The sequence below is a fragment of the Homo sapiens genome, chromosome 12 (genome assembly GCF_000001405.40).
Source record: "Homo sapiens chromosome 12, GRCh38.p14 Primary Assembly".
Taxonomy (NCBI): domain Eukaryota; kingdom Metazoa; phylum Chordata; class Mammalia; order Primates; family Hominidae; genus Homo; species Homo sapiens.
The window spans coordinates 56689144-56709077 of NC_000012.12; the positions used below are offsets into that span (position 1 = coordinate 56689144).

A 19934-nucleotide genomic window follows, 5' to 3' on the forward strand; every position below is an offset into this window, starting at 1 on the left:
AAGGAGGTTTAACGAAAGTGCTATAAAACCTTTCTGAAGAACGGGGCTTCATAATAAGCACTAAGGTATTTAGTGTCTGTGTTGTGCAGGACAGGTAGTGGGAGCTACGAAACCTGGACCCTAGCTCAAATGCCATTAAAAAGGGAAATTGGGCGGGGCGCCCGTGGCTCACGCCTATAATCCCAGTACTTTGGGAAGTTCGGTGGGCGGATCACCTGAGGTCAGGAGTTCAGGACCAGCCCACCCAACATGGTGAAACCCCATCTCTACTAAAAATACTAATTAGCAGGGCGTGGTGGCACTTGCCTGTAATGCCAAATACTAGCTAGTATGAGGCGGGAGGATAGCTCGAACCCCGAACCCGGGAGGCGGAGGTTGCAGTGAGCACTCCAACTTGGGCGACAGAGTGAGACCCTGTGTCAAAAAAAAAAAAAAAAAGGGAAGGGGCCGGGCGCGGTGGCTCACGCCTGTAATCCCAGCACTTCGGGAGGCAGAGGCGGGCAGATCACGAGGTCAGGAGATTGAGCCCATCCTGGCTAACATGGTGAAACCCCGTCTCTACTAAAAATAAAAAAAAATCAGCCGGGTGTGGTGGCACACGCCTCTAGTCCCAGCTACTCGGGAGAGCGAGACAGGAGAATCGCTTGAACCCGGGAGGCGGAGGTTGCAGTGAGCCGAGATCGCGCCACTGCACTTCAGCCTGGGCGACAGAGTGAGTCTGGGTCTCAAAAAAAAAAAAAAAAAAAAAAGGAAGTTAACTTGGCGCACTGGTTCACGCCTGTAATCCCAACACTTTGGGAGGCCGAGGCCAGTGGATTACTGGAGATCAGGAGTTCAAGACCAGCTTGGCTAACATGGTGAAACCCCCGTCCCTACTAAAAATACAAAATATTTGGCCAGGAGCAGTAGCTGACGCCTGTAATCCCAATACTTTGGGAGGCCGAGGCGGGCGGATCACGAGGTCAGGAGTTCAAGACCAGACTGGCCAACATGGCAAAACCCCATCTCTACTAAAAATACAAAAATTAGCTGGGCGTGGTGTGCCTATAATCCCAGGTACTCAGGAGTCTTAGGTGGGAGAATCTCTTGAACCCGGAAGACGCAGGTTGCAGCGAGTCTAGATTGTACCACTGTACTCCAGCTTGGTGACAGTGAGACTCTGTGTAAAAAAAAAAAAAAAAAAAAAAAAAAGAAAAGAAAAAATAGGTCACAACCAAATAATGGTGGCACTGAATGTCAGGCTAAATTTTTTTTTTTTTTTATGTTTTTGAGACAGGGTCTCACTTTAACTCAGGCTGGAGTGCAGTAGTGGTATCACAGGTCACTGCAGTCTTGACTTCTGGGTCCAATTGATCCTCCTGTAACGACTGAATTTAAATATATGTCCAGAGTCACAAATTGCAAAAGAGAACTTTATAGACTGATTTGAGCAATTAAAAAAATTGTTAATTGAAGGTGAGAACAATCCTATTTTATAAGGGGGCTTTCTAATAAGATAACAACTTAGAAGTTGTTAATTTTGTATTAGGAAGTCAAAGGGAAAGGGTGCAAAATGGTAAAAATGTCTCCTGGAGGCCGGGCGCGGTGGCTCACGCCTGTAATCCCAGCATTTTGGGAGGCCGAGGCGGGCGAATCACCTGAGGTTGGGAGTTCGAGACCAGCCTGACCAACATGGAGAAACCCCATCTCTACTAAAAAACACAAAATTAGCCGGGCGTGGTGGCGCATGCCTGGAATCCCAGCTACCAGGGAGGCTGAGGCAGGAGAATTGCTTGAACCCAGGAGGTGGAGGTTGCAGTGAGCCGAGATCATGCCATTGCACTACAGCCTGGGCGACAAGAGCAAAACTCTGTCTCAAAAAAAGAAAAGTCTCCTGGGTATAGGGAATAAAAATTGGGCCGGGCGCGGTGTCTCATGCCTGTAATCCCAGCACTTTGGGAGGCCAAGGCAGGTGGATCACCTGAGGTCAGGAGCTCAAGACCAGCCTGGCCAACATGGCAAAACCCCATCTCTACTAAAAATACAAAAATTAGCTGGGCGTGGTGGCAGGCGCCTGTAATCCCAGCTACTTGGGAGGCGGAGGCAGAATTGCTTGAACCTGGGCGGCAGAGGTTGCAGTGAGCCGAGATCATGCCATTGCACTCCAGCCTGGGTGACAAGAGCGAAACTCCATCTCAAAAAAAAAAAAAAAAAAAAAAAAAGACGGGGCACGCGTGGCTCACGCCTGTAATCCCAGCACTTTGGGAGGCTGAGATGGGTGGATCATGAGGTCAGGAGTTCAAGACCAGCCTGGCCAAGACGGTGAAACCCTGTCTCTACTAAAAATACAAAAATTAGCCAGGCTTGGTGGTGGGTGCTTGTAATCCCAGCTACTTGGGAGGCTGTGGCAGAACCTGTGAGGTGGAGGTGGCAGTGAGCCGAGATCTCCCCACTGCACTCCAGCCTGGGTGACGAGACTCTGTCTCAAAAAAAAAAAAAAATTGGCCATAAACCTTAAAAGAGATATTATGACCCAGCTTAATATAAACATTACTAGTAGCCACCTGTAGTCCCAGCTACTTGAGAGGCTGAGGTGGGAGGATTGCTTAAGCCCAAGAGTTCAAGTCCAGCCTGGGCAACGTAGGGAGACCCTGTCTTTGAAAAAATAAATTTTTTTTTTTTTTAGATGGAGTCTCTGTCGCCCAGGCTGGAATGCAGTGGCACGATCTCTTTTTAGTAGAGACGGGGTTTCACCATGTTCACCAGGCTGGTCTTGAACTCCTGACCTCAGGTGATCTGCCTGCCTCGGCCTCCCAAAGTGCTGGGATTACAGACGTGAGCCACTGCGCCCAGCAAATAAAATCATTTTTAAAATTACTTATGTTTTAGGCCAAGCATGGTGGCTCATGCCTGTAATGCCAACATTTTGGGAGGCCAAGGTGGGAGGATGTCTTGAGGCCAGGAGTTCAAAACCTGCCTGGGTGGCCATGAGCAGTGATTCACACCTGTAATCCCAGCACTTTGGGAGGCTGAGGCAGGTAGATCATCTGAGGTCAGGAGTCAAGACCAGCCTGGCCAACATGGTGAAACCTCATATTTACTAAAAATACAAAAATTAGCTGGGTGTGGTGGTACATGCCTGCAGTCCCAGCTATTTGGGAGGCTGAGGCAGGAGAATGGCTTGCACCCAGGAGGCAGAGGTTGCAGTGAGCCAAGAATGCACCACTGCACTTGCCACTGTACTCCAGCCGAAATGACAGAGCGAGACTCTGTCTCAAAACAGAAACAGGCCAGGTGTGGTGGCTCATGCCTGTAAGCCCAGCACTTTGGGAGGCCGAGGCGGGTGGATCACGAGGTCAGGAGATTGAGACCATCCTGGCTAACATGGTGAAACCCCATCTCTACTAAAAATACAAAAAATTAGCCAGGCGTGGTGGCTTCGCCTGTAGTCCCAACTACTCGGGAGGCTGAGGCAGGAGAATGGTGTAGACCCAGGAGACGGAGCTTGCAGTGAGCCGAGATCACGCCACTGCACTTCAGCCTGGGCGACAGAGCGAGACTCCGTCTCAAAACAAAACAAAAAACAGAAACAAAAACAAAAACCTGGCCGGGTGTGGTGGCTCCTGCCTGTAATTCCAGCACTTTGGGAGGCCAAGGTGGGCAGATCACCTGAAGTCAGGAGTTCGAGACCAGCCTGGCCAACATGGTGAAACCTTGTCTCTACTAAAAATACAAAAATTAGCTGGGCGTGGTGGCAGGCGCCTGTAATTCCAGCTACTTGGGAGGCTGAGGCAGGAGAATCGCTTGAACCTGGGAGGTGGAGGTTGCAGTGAGCCAAGATGGCACCACTGCACTCCAGCCTGGGCGGCAGCGAGACTCCGTCTCAAAAAAAAAAAAAAAAAAAAAAAAAAGCTATTTACCCGCTGGGCGCTGTAATCCCAGCACTTTGGGAGACCGAGGCGGGTGGATCACAAGGTCAGGAGTTCAAGACCAGCCTGGCCAATATGGTAAAACCCCATCTCTACTAAAAATACAAAAATTAGCCAGGCGTGGTGGCGCGTGCCTGTAGTCCCAGCTACTCAGGAGGCAGAGGCAGGAGAACCACTTGAAGCCGGGAGGCAGAGGTTGCAGTGAGCCGAAATAGCACCACTGCACTCCAGCCTGGGCAACAGAGTGAGAGTCTGTCTCAAAAAAAAAAGGTCAGAAGGTATTTACCTGTAAAAATGACATGCATTGAATGAAGTATTTTTAAAATGGTGGCCGGGCGCAGTGGCTGAAGCCTGTAATCCCAGCACTTTGGGAGGCTGAGGCGGGTGGATCACAAGGTCAGGAGATCGAGACCATCCTGGCTAACATGGTGAAACCCCATCTCTACTAAAAATACAAGAAATTAGCTGGGCGTCGTGGCCCATGCCTGTAGTCCCAGCTACTCGGGAGGCTGAGGCAGGAGAGTCACTTGAACCCGGGAGGTGGAGTTGCAGTGAGCCAAGATTGCACCACTGCACTCCAGCCTGGGCAACAGAGCGAGACTCTGTCTCAAAAAATAAGTAAATAATATAAAAAATAAAAATATAAATGGCCTTCTGCTGGGCACGGTGGCTTATGCCTGTAAACCCGGGACTTTGGGAGGCTGAGGTGGGTGGATCACTTGAGGTCAGGAGTTTGAGACAGCCTGGCCAACATGGCAAAACCTGTTTTTCCTAAAAATACAAAAATTAGGCCCGGCGCAGTGGCTCACACCTGTAATCCCAGCACTTAGGGAGGCCAAGGCAGGTGGATCATGAGGTCAGGAGTTCAAGACCAGCCTGCGCAAGATGGTGAAACCTCACCTGTACTAAAAATACAAAAATTAGCTGGGTGCAGTGGCAGGTGCCTGGAATCCCAGCTACTCAGGAGGCTGAGACAGGAGAATTGCTTGGACCCAGGCAGCAGAGGTTGCAGTGAGCCGAGATCACACGATTGCACTCCAGCCTAGGTGATAGAGGAGTAAAACTCCATCTCAAAAAAAAAATTAAAAAAATTAGCTGGGCATGGTGATACATGCCTGTAGTTCCAGCTACTTGGGAGGCTAAGGCAGGAGAATTACTTGAACCTGGGAGGTGTAGGTTGCAGTGAGCTGAGATCGTGCTGTTGCACTGTCAGTCTGGGCAACAGAGCAGGACTCTGTCTCCAAAAAAAAAAAAAAGATCTTCTACCCCACGTCTCCAACCTCCAGGCTGTGGCAATCCCCAGGCTGTGGATAGGTACTGGTCCATGGCCTATTAGGAAAGCAGCCACACAGCAAGAGATGAACGCTCCATGAGCCAGCATTACTGCCTGAGCTCTACCTCCTGTCAGATCAGTGATGGCATTAGATTCTCATAGGTATGCGAACCCTATTGTGAACTGCACATTCAAGGGATCTAGGTTGTGCTCGCCTTATGAGAATCTTTTTTTTTTTTTTTTTTTTTGATACAGGATCTCTGTCACCCAGGGTGGAGTGCCGTGGCGAGATCTTGGCTCACTGCAACCTCCGCCTCCTGGGTTCAAGCGATTCTCCTGCCTCAGCCTCCTGAGTAGCTGGGATTACAGGTGCTTGCCACCATGCCCGGCTAATTTTTTATTTATTTTTTTTAGACGGAGTGTCGCTCTATCACCAGGCTGGAGTGCAGTGGTGCGATCTCAGCTCACTGCAAGCTTCGCCTCCCAGGTTGACGCCATTCTCCTTCCTCAGCCTCCCTAGTAGCTGGGACTACAGGTGCCTGCCACCATGTCTGGCTAATTTTTGTATTTTTAGTAGAGATGGGGTTTCACTGTGTTAGCCAGGATGGTCTCGATCACCTCTACTTCGTGATCTGCCTGCCTCGGCCTCCCAAAGTGCTGGGATTACGGGCGTGAGCCACTGCGCCCTGCTGTGCCCGGCTAATTTTTGTATTTTTAGTAGAGATGGGGTTTTGTGATGTTGGCCAGGCTGGTCTTGTACTCCCAACCTCAGGTGATCCACCAGCCTTGGCCTCCCAAAGTGCTAAGATGACAGGCGTGAGCCACTGCGCCTGGCCACTTCGAGAATCTAATGCTTGATGGAACGGTTTCATTCCAAAACTATTCCCTCACCATGGAAAAACTTGTCTTGCACAAAACCCATTTCTGGTGCCAAAAACTTTGAGGACCACTGTTCTACCCCAAACATCACCTTATCTTATGTTTACATCTGAAGTTTATATTATAGAAAATAAGACCATTGAGTGGGCAGGGTGGCTCATTCCTGTGATCCCAGTACTTAGGGGGCCAAGATGGGAGGTTTGCTTGAGCCCAGGAGTTTGAGACCAGCCTGGACTACATAGGGAGAGCCTGTCACTACAAAAAATAAAAAATTAGCCAGATGTGGTATATGGTGATGCTGGGATTACAGACATGAGTCACTGTGCCTGGCCTGGTGGACACATGTCTTGAGTGAGACCACTGCCGTCATGCTTTTCTCACTATTCTGAGTCCCTGGCACATAGTAGATGCTCAAAAATGTTTGTTAAATATATTAATAATTTAGCTGTAATGGAGAAAAACTATGGACAAACCAGTCATGGTAGTTTAGGCAAGAGATTAGACCCAGAACTAAAGCAGTGGCAGTAGGAGTGGACAGATAAAGCTAACCCAGAATTTTGATGTATTTCTAACTTTGAAGACCAGTTAGAAAAGGAATCAGATAAGGAGGTTTCTAGTTTGGGAGACTGGGTGAAATGCGACACCATTAGCTGAGACTGAAAGGGACAGATGGAGGAGTAGAAATATAATTTAATATAGTTTATATTTAGCAGTTGAGGAAAGGGTTTTTTTTGTTGCTTGTTTAGGAATGGGATGTTTTATCATGTTTGATGGGTGAGAAAAGAAGCCAGTGGAAAGAGAGGAGGGGTTTAAGAAGACAGGATAACAGGGAGAACAAGGTCTGGTATGAGGCAGGAGAGGATAAAAGCCAAAGGAAACAAAGAGAAGGCATAGGAAGAAGGAAGGAGATGAAAGTCTAAGGGAAGGGCTTTTAAACTTGATTCTGGCTCTCGTGCTCTCTCTCTCTTGCTCTGTATCTGTGTGTATACACACACAAAAAGAATATACATACATACATACACACACACACACACACATATATATACATTTTTTTTGAGACACATCCTCTGTTGCTCAGCCTGGAGTGTAGTGATGTGATTATGGCTCACTGCAGCCTTGACCTCCCCAGGCTCAGGTGATCCTCCCACCTCAGTCTCCCAAGTAGCTGATACTACAGGTGTGCACTACCACACCCAGCTAATTTAAAAAAGTATTTTGTAGAGATGGGGTTTTGCCATGTTGCTCAGGCTGGTCTCCAACTCCTGGGTTCAAGTGATCCATCTATCTCGGCCTCCCAAAGTGCTGGGATTACAGGCTTGAGCCACTGTGCCTGCCCACTCAATATGTATTTGTTGAATGAATGAATTAGGTGCCAGATCCATGACAGAAATATATTTTACAGCAAAGGAACTCAGATCACTTAAGCTTTTCGTTTGCAGGTTTGTTGGGTACTACAACCTGGAAGTTAATATCTAACTCCCATGTAGTATCTAACTTGTGAAATCTTGTTTTGCTTCCATCTCTAAAGAAGTGTCCTTCTGGAGGTTGCAGGGAGCCGAGATCATGACACTGCCCTTCAGCCTGGACAATAGATTCAAATCTTGTCTCAATTAAAAAAATAATAATAATAAATTTTTTTAAAAAGTGTCCTACTTCAAGCACAGGATGACCTTTTCTGCGTGTGTTCTCTTTTTTTGAGACGGAGTTTTGCTCTTGTTGTCCAGGCTGGAGTGCAGTGGCACGATCTCAGCTTGCTGCAACCTCCGCCTCTCACATTCAAGCAGTTCTTCTGCCTTAGCCTCCCGCATAGCTGGGATTATAGGCATGCACCACCACACCTGGCTAATTTTTTGTATTTTTAGTAGAGACAGGGTTTTGACATGTTGGGCAGGCTGGTCTCGAACTCCTGACCTCAGGTGATCTGCCCACCTCAGCCTCCCAAAATGCTGGGATTACAGTGTGAGCCACCGTGCCTGGCCATCTGCATGTGTTCTTAATGTCATTGTCTCTGGCCTTTTCCAGGAGTATGAATCTTCAGTTTATTCCCTTAATCTTTCCATTTTGTCTACAAATATGCTTAGGTGTTCCATTCTAAAAAGCAAGACAAAACAAACCTTTCCTCAGGCCTCCTTTTTTTTTTTTTTGAGATGGAGTCTCGCTCTGTCGCCCAGGCTAGAGTACAGTGGCGCGATCTTGGCTCACTGCAAGCTCTGCCTCCCGGGTTCAGGCCATTCTCCTGCCTCAGCCTCCCGAGTAGCTGGGACTACAGGTGCCCGCCACAATGCCCGGCAAACTTTTTGTACTTTTAGTAGAGACGGGGTTTCACTGTGTTAGCCAGGATGGTCTCAATCTCCTCACCTCATGATCCGCCCACCTCGCTCCTAAAATGCTGGGATTACAGGTGTGAGCCACCGCGCCTGGCCACCTCAGGCCTCCTTTTTATGCTGTGGTCTGTTAAACTTTTTCCACATTTCTAAGATTACTCCATAAACTATTCTCACTAAAGGTACTTCTTTGCTGTCCATTCATTGGTTCCCACTCCCCCAAGCTACCAAAGTGGATACACTGAAAGCCACTCAATTGTCAAATTCAAAGGCCCTTTTCTTCAGGCTGGGCACTGTGGCCCATGCCTATAATCCTATTATTTTGGGTAGGCAGATCGCCTGAGCCCAGGAGTTCAAGATCAGCCTGGGCAACATGGTGAAAACCTGTCTCTACCAAACCCCCACCCCCCCAAAATTAGCCATGTGGCCTGGTGTGGTGGCTCACGCCTGTAATCCCAGCACTTTGGGAGGCCGAGGTGGGCAGATCACCTGAGGTCAGGAGTTCGAGACCAGCCTGACCAATATGGTGAAACCTTGTCTCTACTAAAAATACAAAAATTAGCTGGGCGTGGTGGCGGGCGCCTGTAGTCCCAGCTACTTGGGAGGCTGAGACAGAAGAATTGCCTGACCCTGGGAGGCAGAGGTTGCAGTGAGCTGAGATCATGCCACTGCACTCCAGCACTCCAGCCTGGGCAACAGAGTGAGACTCCGTCTCAAAAAAAAAAAAAAAAATTAGCTGGGCATGGTGACTCTCATCTGTAATCCCAACTACTTGGGAGGCTGAGGCAGGAGAATAGCTTGAAACCAGGAGGTGGAGGTTGCAGTGAGCTGAGATCGCACCACTGCACTCCAGCCTGGGCAACAGAGTGAGACTCCGTTTCACAAAAAAAACAAAAACAAAAACAGTTAGCCGTGTGTGGTGCAGTCCTAGCTACTTAGGAGGCTGAGGTGGGTGGATCACTTGAGCCCAGGAGGTCAAGGTGGAAATGAGCTGAGATCATGCCATGTACTCCAGCTTGGGTGACAGAGACACTGTGTCAAAAAAAAAAAAAAAAAAAAGGCCGTTTTTTTCAGTCTCTGTTCTTTTTTTTTTTTTTTTGAGACAGAGTTTAGCTGTTGTTACCCAGGCTGGAATACAGTGGTTCACTGCATCCTCCGCCTCCTGGGTTCTGGGTTCAAGTGATTCTTCTGTCTCAGCCTCCTGTGTAGATGGGATTACAGGTGTGTGCCACCATGCTGAGCTAATTGTTGTATTTTTAGTAGAGACGAGGTTTCACCATGTTGGCCAGGCTGGTCTCGAACTCCTGACCTCAAGTGATCCACCCGCCTTGGTGTCCCAAAGTGCTGGGATTACAGGCATGAGCCACTGCACCCAACCTGTTCTTGGTCTCTTTGAAGTGTTACCACAGAGGGATCCCTATTCAGACCCCAGGAGAGGGTTCTTGAGCCTCAAGCAAGAAAGAATTTGGACACATCCATATGGTAAAGTGAAAGCAAGTTTATTAGGAAATAAAGAAATAAAAGAATGGCTACTTCATAGCCAGAGCAGCCCCGAGGGCTACTGGTTGACTACTTTTATGATTATTTATTGATTATATGCTAAATAAGGGGTGGATTATTTATGAGCTTTCTGGGAAAGGCATGGCAATTCCCTGAACTGAAGGCTCCTCCCCTTTTTAGACTTATTGGGTAACTTCCTGACTTTGCCATGACATCTGTAAACCTTCATGGTGCTGGTGGGTGTGTCTTTTGGCATGCTAATGAATTATAAGCATATATAATGAACAGTGAGGATGACGAGGGGGTCATTTTTCATCACCATCTTCGTTTTGGTGGTTTTTGGCCAGCTTCTTTACCACATGCTGGTTTTATCAGCAAAGTCTTTGTGACCTGTACCTTGGGCCAACCTCCTATTTCATCCTGTGACATAGAATGCCTGACATCCTGGCAATGCAGCCCAGGAGGTCTAAGCCTCATTTTACCCTGCTCCTATTCAAGATGGAGTTGCTCTGTTTCAAAGGCCTCTGACAGAAGTTTTTGACATAGTTGACCAGCCATTCCTTTTTCTTAAAAAGGCTGTCTTCTGTTTCTTTGTTATTTATTTTTTGAGACAGGGTCTCACTCTGTCACCCAGGATGGAGTGCAGTGGTGCCATCTTGGCTCACTGCAACCTCCACCTCATGGGTTCAAGCGATTCTCCTGCCTGAACCTCCCAAGTAGCTGTGAGTACAGGTGCGCACCGCCACACCTGGCTAATTTTTGTATTTTTAGTAGAGACAGGGTTTCATCATCTTGGCCAAGTTGGTCTCGAACTCCTGGCCTAAGGTGATCCACCTGCCTCGGCCTCCCAAAGTGCTGGGATTACAGAGGTGAGCCACGGCACCCGGCCTTATTTATTTTATCTTTTTGAGACAGGGTTTCACTCTGTCACCTGGGCTGGAGTGCAGTGGCACGATTTCTGCTCACCATAGCCTTGACCTCTGGGCTTGAGTGATCCTCCCGCCCCAGCCTCCCAAGTAGGTGGGACTACAGGCGGGCGCCATCACACCTGGCTAATTTTTTTTTTGAAAAGGAGTTTCGCTCTTGTTGCCCAGGCTGGAGTTCAATGGCCGATCTCGGCTCACTGCAACCTCCGCCTCCCGGGTTCAAGTGATTCTCCTGCCTCAGCCTCCGGAGTAGCTGGGATTACAGGGGCGCACCACCACGCTTGGTAAATCAAGGTCAAAAATTATTCTTTTTTTTTTTTTTTTTTTTGAGATGGAGTCTCGCTGTATTGCCCAGGCTGGAGTGCAGTGGCGCCATCTTGGCTCACTGCAAGCTCCGCCTCCCGGGTTCACGCCATTCTCCTGCCTCAGCCTCCTGAGTAGCTGGGACTACAGGCACCTGCCACCACGCCCGGCTAATTTTTTGTATTTTTAGTAGAGACGGGGTTTCACTGTGTTAGCCAGGATGGTCTGGATCTCCTGACCTCGTGATCCGCCTGCCTCGGCCTCCCAAAGTGCTGGGATTACAGGCGTGAGCCACTGCCCCCCGCCTTTTGTTTTTTTTTTTTTTTTTGAGAGGGAGTTTTGCTTTGTCGCCCAGGCGGGTGTGCAATGACGCGATCTCGGCTTGCTGCAACCTCTGCCTCCCGGCTTCAAGCGATTCTCTTGCCTCAGCCTTCAGAGTAGCTGAGATTACAGGTGCCTGACACCAGGCTCGGCTAATTTTTGTTTTTTTAGTAGAGACAAGGATTCACCATATTGGCCAGGCTGGTCTCAAGCTCCTGACCTCAAGTGATCCGCCCGCCTCAGCCTCCAAAAGTGCTGCTATTACAGGCATGAGCCACCGCGCCGGCCCCAAGTGACTCTCATGGGCTGGAGACACAGGCTATTATGAATTGCTAACCACAGTCTCTTAGTCTCCCTTTTAAATAACAAAAGAGGAAATTTCTTCACTTCCTGACACAACTCTCCATCATACAGTTGGCCAAGAGCAGTTAGAAACTTTCATCCTTAATTTGTGTCCTTTGGGAGTTGCTGCTTTCTTAGAGTCATTAAATGCATGTAGGCAGTGTCTGCTTCATTAAGCCAGATTTATACCAAATGAAAAGGCAGAGAAAGATCTAATTTAATGAATATTTCTTTTTTTTTTTTTTGAGACGGAGTTTCACTCGTCACCCAAGCTGGAGTGTAATTCGTGGTCTCCGGTCACTGCAACCTCCGCCTCCTGGGTTCAAGCGATTCTCCAGCCTCAGCCTTCCAGCCTCAGCCTCCCAAGTAGCTGGGATTACAGGTGCCCGCCACCACACCCAGCTAATATTTGTATTTTTAGTAGAGACAGGGGTTTCACCATGTTGGGCAGGCTGGTCTCGAACCCCTGACCTCAGGTGATCCACCCTCCTTGGCATCCCAAAGTACTGGGATTGTAGGCATGAGCCATCGCACCGGGTCTTAATTAAGATTTCTAAGAACTAGATCAACAAATCAGTGGGACTGTAAAGGCAATTCTTGGGACACAGGTCAGGAAACTCTGTGCTTAATTCAGAAATCAAAAATCCAGCAATCTCACTTCTGGGTGTTAGAACTGTAGAAAATAAAATTTTAGACCGGGCACGGTGGCTCACGCCTGTCATCCCAGGCCGAGGCGGGTGGATCACGAGGTCAGGAGATCGAGACCATCCTGGCCAACATGGTGAAACCCCGTCTTTACTAAAAATACAAAAATTAGCCTGGTGTGGTGGCGTGCGCCTGTAGTCCCAGCTACTCCGGAGGCTGAGACAAGAGAATCACTTGAACCCGAGAGGCAGAGGTTGTGGTGAGCCGAGATTGGGCCATTGAACTCCAGGCTTGGCAACAAGAGCGAAACTCTGTCTAAATAAATAAATAAATAAATAAAAATATAAAATTTTAAGCCCCCCAACTGACTGAATGGATCCCCATTTGGCCAAGAGGACCCCCAAACTCCTGAAAAAGTAGTTCAGGCAATGTGGGGAATGGGAGGCATTGAATATGCCTCATTATACTCTCTTCCCTTTGGAGTTCTGGCACAACTGACCAGCATTAACATTAAAACAGAGATCTTGGCTGGGCACTATGGCTCATGCTTGTAATCCCAGCACTTTGGGAGGCCGAGTCAGGTGGATCACCTGAGGTCAGGAGTTCGAGACCAGCCTGGCCAACATGATGAAACCCCGTCTCTACTAAAAATACAAAAAAATACAAAAAAATAAAATAAAAATTAGCTGGGTGTGGTAGTGCATGTCTGTAATCCCAGCTACTTGGGAGGCTGAGACAGAAGAATCGCTTGAATCTGGGAGGCGGAGGTTGCAGTGAACAGAGATCACACTACCGCACGCCAGCCTGGGCAACAAGAGCGAAACTCCGTCTCAGAAAAACAGAAACAACAACAACAAAAAGAGTTCGAGACTAGCCTGGCCAACATAGCAAAACCCCGTCTCTACTAAAAATACAAATGTTAGCGGGCTGTGGTGGCGTGTGTCTGTAATCCCAGCTACTCAGGAGGCTGAGGCAGGAGAATTGCTTGAACCAGGGAGATGGAGGTTGCAGTGAGTCAAGATCCTGCCACTGCACTCCAGCCCAAGGGACAGAGTGAGAGTCTGTCTCAAAAAAATAAAATAAATAAAATGAATAAAATAAAACAAGAGATTTTAAGACTGACAAACGAGGCGGGGTGCGGTGGCTCAAGCCTGTAATCCTAGCTCTTTGGGAGGTCAAGGCAGGCCGATCAGGGGTTTGAGACCAGCCTGGCCAACATGGTGAAACCCTGTCTCTACTAAAAATACAAAAATCAGCTGGGCGTGGTAGTGCACACCTGTAATCCCCGCTACTCAGGAGACTGAGGCAGGAGAATCTCTTGAACCCGGGCGACCCAGGTTGCTGTGAGCTGAAATCGAACCACTGCACTTTAGCCTGGGCAACAGAGTGAGACTCTCTCAAAAAAAAAAGGGGCGGGGGGAAGGACAAAAGAGACTAGCAAAATTCCAACATGATGCTAGTATAACATCACATAAAAGATAAAAAAAAGGAAATCAAAATATTTTACCCCAAAATATGTTTCTTTGCTATATTTTGAAATGGTGGGCACAGTGGCTCTTGCCTGTAATCCCAGTACTGGGAGGCAGAGGCAGGAGTATTGCTTGAAGTCAGGAGTTAGAGACCAGCCTGAGCAACAAAGACAGACTCTGTCTCTATAAAAATAATTAAATTAAATATAAATAAATAGGCCAGGTGCGGTGGCTCACGCCTGTAATCCCACCACTTTGGGAGGCCGAGGCGGGCAGATCACGAGGTCAGGAGATCGAGACCATCCTTGCTAACACGGTGAAACCCCGTCTCTACTAAAAATACAAAAAAAAAAAAAAAAAAAAATTAGCCAGGCGTGGTGGCAGGCGCCTGTAGTCCCAGCTACTCAGGAGGCTGAGGCAGGAGAATGGCGTGAACCCAGGAGGCAGAGCTTGCAATAAGCCAAGATTGCACCACTGCACTCCAGCCTGGGCAAGAATGAGACTGTCTCAAAAAATAAAAATAAATAAATAAGGCTTGGTGTGGTGGCTCACGCCTGTAATCCCAGCACTTTGGGAGGCCGAGGTGGGCAGATCCTGAGGTCAGGAGCTCGAGACCAGCCTAACATGGTGAAACCCCGTCTCTACTAAAAATACAAAAATTAGCCAGGTGTGGTGGTGTGTGCCTATAATCCCAGCTACTCAGGAGGCTGAGGCAGAAGAATCACTTGAACCCAGGAAGCGGAGGTTGCCGTGAGCTGAGATCGCGCCACTGCACTCCAGCCTGGGCAACAGAGAGAGACTTCCTCTAAAAAAAAAATTAATAAAAATAAATAAAGTCCCTGCCAAGCCATCTTTTGTGGGGGAAAATTTGCATCTGTAAATAATCTGTACGAACATAACTAGATCTTTCTCCTACCAGGTCCACCCAATTCTGAAGAGATTAACTGACAGTCTAGTTTTTTTTGTTTGTTTGTTTGTTTTTGAGATGGATTCTTGCTCTGTTGCCCAGGCTGGAGTGCAGTGGCAGGATCTCGGCTGACTGCAATCTCTGCCTCCCCGGTTCAAGCAGTTCTTCTGCCTCAGCCTCCCTAGTAGCCAGGACGACAGGAGCACGCCACAACGTCTGGCTAATTTTTTTTTTTTTTTTTTTTGAGGAGTCTCGCTTTGTCGCCCAGTTTGGAGTGCAGTGGTGCAATCTCAGCTCACTGCAACCTCTGCTTCCTGGGTTCAAGCAATTCTTCTGCCTTAGCCTCCAGAGTAGCTGGGACTACAGGCATGCATCACCAAGCCTGGCTAATTTTTTTTTTTTTTTTTTGTATTTTTAGTAGAGACGGGGTTTCTCCATGTTGGTCAGGCTGGTCTCGAACTCCTGACCTCAGGTGATCCACCTGCCTCAGCCTCCCAAAGTGCTGGGATTACAGGCATGAGCCACCATGCCTGGCCTGTTTGTCTGTTTTTTTGAGATGGAGGTCCCACTCTGTCACCCAGGCTGGAGTGCAATGGTGTGATCTCAGCTCACTGCAACCTCCACCTCCTGGGTTCAAGAGATTCTCCCCCATCAGCCTCCTGAGTAGCTGGGATTACAGGCACCTGCCATCATGCCTGGCTAATTGTATTTTTGTAGAGAAGGTATTTCACCATGTTGGTCAGGCTGGTGGGAGTGTAGCAGTGAGGAGGACCAGAAGTCACTCTGGTGGCCATCTTGGTTTTGGTGGGATTTAGCCGGCTCCTTTACTGCAACCTGTTTCTTTTGTTTGTTTGTTTTTCGAGATGGAGTCTTACTCTGTCTCCCAGGCTGGAGTGCAGCAGGGTGATCTCGGCTCATTGCAACCTCAGCCTCCTGGGTTCCAGCGATTCTCCTGCCTCAGCCTCCGGAGTAGCTGGGATTACAGGCGTGTGCTACCACAACTGGCTAATGTTTGTATTTTTAGTAGAGACAGGGTTTTGCCATGTTGGCCAGGCTGCTCTCTAACTTTTGACCTCAGGTGATCCATTCGCCTGGACCTCCCAAAGTGCTGGGATTACAGGCATGAACCGATGACAAGCATGAGCCAATGTGTCTGGCCTGGTTTAAACACTTCTGACATTTACCCCATCCCTTTTATAAGAGAACCCTTAATCTTTTTTTTTTTTTGAGACGGAGTCTCACTCTTTCACCCAGGCTGGAGTGCAGTGGCACAATCTCCGCTCACTGCAACCTCCGCCTCCTGGGTTGAAGCAATTCTCCTGCCTCAGCCTCCAGAGTATCTGGGATTACAGGTGCCCCCAACCATGCCTAGCTAATTTTTTTGTATTTTTAGTAGACACGGGCTTTCACTATGTTGGCCAGGCTGGTCTTGAACTCCTGACTTTGTGATCCACCTGCCTTGGCCTCCCAAAGTGCTGGGATTACAGGCGTGAGCCACCGTGCCTGGCCTTTTTTTTTTTTCTTTTAATTTTAAGCAGAGTCTTGCTCTGTTGCCCAGGCTTGAGTCCAGTGGCACGATCTTGGCTCACTCCAACCTCCGCCTCCTGAGTTCAAGTGATTCTCCTGCCTCAACCTCCCGAGTAGCTGGGATTACAAGCATGCGCCACTACACCCGGCTCATTTTTATATTTTTAGTAGAGACGGGGATTCTCCATGTTGGCCAGGGTGGTCTCAAACTCCTGACCTCAGGTGATCCACCCACCTCGGCTTTCCAAAGTGGTGAGATTGCAGGCATGAGCCAGTGCGCCCAGCTTTCTGTAACTTCTTCAGGATGAATAAGGGCGATGATATTCCTGCCTAACTATTAGGATCTCTTGTGTTCAGGGTAGATAGGAGCTCAGTTAGAAAGCATCGGTATGGTGAGGGCCATTTATAACTCTGGAGTTCCAACAAAAGGTGATGTCTGGAAGATTAGTAAATATTCATTTAAGAAAACATTCAGGGGTCGGGCATGGTGGCTCATGCCTGTAATCCCAGCACTTTGGGAGGCCAAGGCGGGCGGATCACCTGAGGTCAGGAGTTTGAGACCAGCCTGGCCAACATGGTGAAGCCCCATCTCTACTAAAAATGCAAAAATTAGCTGGGCATGGTGGCACAGGTCTGTAGTCCCAGCTACTCGGGAGGTGAATCGCTTGAACCTGGGAGGCAGAGGTTGCAGTGAGCTGAGATTGCGCCACTACACTCCAGCCTGAGTGACAGAGGGAGACTCCATCTCAAAAAAAAAAAAAAAAAAAAAAAGAGGAATCATACAATATTTGCCCTTTTGTGGATGGCTCATTTCATTTGGCATAATGCCAACAATTTATGTTTCAGCATGTGACAGAATTTCTTTCCTTTTTAAGGCTGAATAATATATATATATACACATATATATAAAATAATATTTTATACACACACACATACTGTTTTTTTTTGAGATGGAGTTTTGGAGTTTTGCTCTTGTCATCCAGGCTGGTGTTCAATGGCATGATCTTGGCTCACTGCAACCTCAGCCTCCCGGGATCAAAGGACTCTCCTGCCTCAGCCTCCGAAGTAGCTGGGATTAGGGGCATAGGCAACCACACCTGGCTAATTTTGTTTTTTTTTTTTGAGACAGAGTCTCGCTCTGTCGCCCAGGCTGGAGTGCAGTGGTGCTGTGTCAGCTCACTGCAACCTCCACCTCCCAGGTTGAAGTGATTCTTGTGCCTCAGCCACCTGGCTAATTTTGTTCTGTATTTTTGTAGAGACAGGGTTTCACCATGTTGGCCAGGCTGGTCTTGAATTCCTGACCTCAGGTGATCTGCCTGCCTCGGCCTGCCAGAGTGTTGGGATTACAGGCGTGAGCCACCATGCCCAGTCTTATATATTTTTTTGACACAGGATCTCACTTTGTCACCCAGGGTGGAGTGTAGTGGTGTGATCATGGCTCACTACAACCTCTGCCTCCCAGGGTCAAGGGATCCTCCCACCTCCGCCTCCCTAGTAGCTGGGACGTCCCACCATGCCTGGCTAATTTTGTAATTTTGTGTGTGTGTGTGTGTGTGTGTGTGTGTGTGTGTGTGTGTGTGTTTTAGATGGAGTTTCGCTCTTATTGCCCAGGCTGGAGTGCAATGGTATGATCTTGGCTCACTGCAACCTCTGCCTCCTGGGTTTAAGTGATTCTTCTGCCTCAGCTTCCCAAGTAGCGGGATTATAGACGTCCACAACCATGCCTGGCTCATTTTTGTATTTTTAGTAGTGACCAGGGTTTCATCGTGTTGGCCAGGCTGGTCTTGAACTCCTGACCTCAGGTGATCCATCCGCCTTGGTCTCCCAAAGTGCTGGGATTATAGGCGTGAGCCCCAGTGCCTGGCGTGTGTGGTTTTTTTTGTAGAGACAGTGTTTTGCCTTTTTTTTTTTTGGGGGGGGGATGGAGTCTAACTCTGTCTCCCTGGCTGGAGTGAGTAGTACAGTGGTGTGATCTTGGCTCACTGCAACCTCTGCCTCCCAGGTTCAAGTGATTCTACTACCTCAGACTCCTGAGTAGCTGGGACTACAGGCATGTGCCACCACACTTGGCTAATTGTTGTATTTTTAGTAGAGAAGGGGTGTCACTACGTTGGCCAGGCAGGTCTCGAACTCCTGACCTCAGGCGATCTGCCCGCCTCGGCCTCCCAAAGTGCTGAGATTCGCCATTTTGCCCAGGCTAGTCTCAAAAGTCCTGAGCTCAAACGATCCTTTATACTCCCAGGCCAAGCGATCCTGGCTTCCCAAAGTGCTGGGATTACAGGCATGAGCCACTGCGCCCGGCCGAATAATATTCTCCTGTTGCTATATACCACATCTTATTTAACCATTCAACTGTTGATGGACACTTGGGTTTCTGCTGCCTTTGTCTATTGTGAATAATGCTGTTATGAGTATGGTTGTAACACTGAGTCCCTGATTGTAATTCTTTTGGGTTTAAAACCAGAAGTGGAATTGCGGGATCATATGGTAAATCTATTTTTAATTTTTTGAGGATCTGCCATACCATTCCATAGTGGCTGCACCATTTAACATTCCCACCAACAGTGCACAAGTGTTCCAATTTCTTCACATCCTTGCTAACACTTTTTTTTTTTGATAAGTAGTCAGCCTAATGGGTTGAGGTGACATCTCATTTTTTGTTTTAATTACATTTTTTTCTTTCTTTTTTTTTTTTGAGGTGCAGTTTCGCTCTCGTTGCCCAGGCTGGAGTGCAATGGTGCGATCTCGACTCATCACAACCTCCACTTCCTGGGTTCAAGCGATTCTCCTGCCACAGCCTCCCTGGTAGCTGGGATTACAGACATGCGCCACCACACCCAGCTAATTTTTTATTTTTAGTAGAGATGGGCTTTCTCCATGTTGGTCAGGCTGGTCTCGAACTCCCAACCTCAGGTGCTCCGCCCACCTTGGCCTCCCAAAGTGCTGGGATTATAGGCATGAGCCACCGTGCCTGGCCTTTTCTCCTTTTTTTGAGATGGAGTTTTGCTCTTGTTGCCCTGGCTGGAGTGCAATGGTGTGATCTCGGCTCACTGCAACCTCTGCCTCCCAGGTTCAAGCCATTCTCCTGCCTCAGCCTCCTGAGTAGCTGGGATTATAGGCATAGGCCACCATGCCCGGCTAATTTTGTATTTTTAGTAGAGATGGGGTTTCTCCATGTTGGTCAGGTTGTTCTCGAACTCCTGACCTCAGATGATCCGCCTGCCTCAGCCTCCCAAAGTGCTGAAATTACAGGTGTGAGCCACTGCGCCCGGCCCTAGCACCTTTTCATGTGCTATTGGACATTTATCTATCTTCTTTGGATAAATGTCTTCATGGCCCTTTCACATTTTGAATCAGAGTTTTTGTTGAGTTGTAGGAGTTCTTTATATAGTCTGGATATTATCCCCTTATCAGATACATCATTTGCAAATATTTCCTCTAATTCCATGGGCTGTCTTTCTTACTGTTTTGTTCTTTAATACACAAGTTTTAAATTTTGATGAAGTCCAATTTATCTTTTTTTCTTTTGTTGCTTGTTTTCTTGCTTTTGGTGTCATCTAATAGTTTTTTATTTTTTCTGTCACCCAGGCTACAGTGCAGTGGTGTGATC

At 48.1% G+C, this 19934-nt stretch overlaps 5 annotated features.

Moving 5' to 3' along the window:
- Positions 28 to 77: an enhancer, noted in NCBI's record as "active region_6515". NCBI's record gives its function as "activates an Ori minimal core promoter by ATAC-STARR-seq in GM12878 lymphoblastoid cells {active_cell/tissue: GM12878}" and the evidence as "EXISTENCE:reporter gene assay evidence [ECO:0000049][PMID:35858748]".
- Positions 604 to 1129: an enhancer, noted in NCBI's record as "H3K27ac-H3K4me1 hESC enhancer chr12:57083531-57084056 (GRCh37/hg19 assembly coordinates)". NCBI's record gives its function as "activates a minimal SCP1, AML or CMV promoter by ChIP-STARR-seq in naive H9 embryonic stem cells {active_cell/tissue: H9 hESC(naive)}" and the evidence as "EXISTENCE:reporter gene assay evidence [ECO:0000049][PMID:30033119]".
- Positions 11612 to 11766: a silencer, noted in NCBI's record as "fragment chr12:57094539-57094693 (GRCh37/hg19 assembly coordinates)". NCBI's record gives its function as "represses an EF-1alpha promoter that drives an FKBP-Casp9 reporter gene in an ReSE screen in phorbol 12-myristate 13-acetate-treated (for megakaryocytic differentiation) K562 erythroleukemia cells {active_cell/tissue: K562(+PMA)}" and the evidence as "EXISTENCE:reporter gene assay evidence [ECO:0000049][PMID:32094911]".
- Positions 11612 to 11774: a biological region, named in NCBI's record as "ReSE screen-validated silencer GRCh37_chr12:57094539-57094693".
- Positions 11715 to 11774: a silencer, noted in NCBI's record as "silent region_4566". NCBI's record gives its function as "represses an Ori minimal core promoter by ATAC-STARR-seq in GM12878 lymphoblastoid cells {active_cell/tissue: GM12878}" and the evidence as "EXISTENCE:reporter gene assay evidence [ECO:0000049][PMID:35858748]".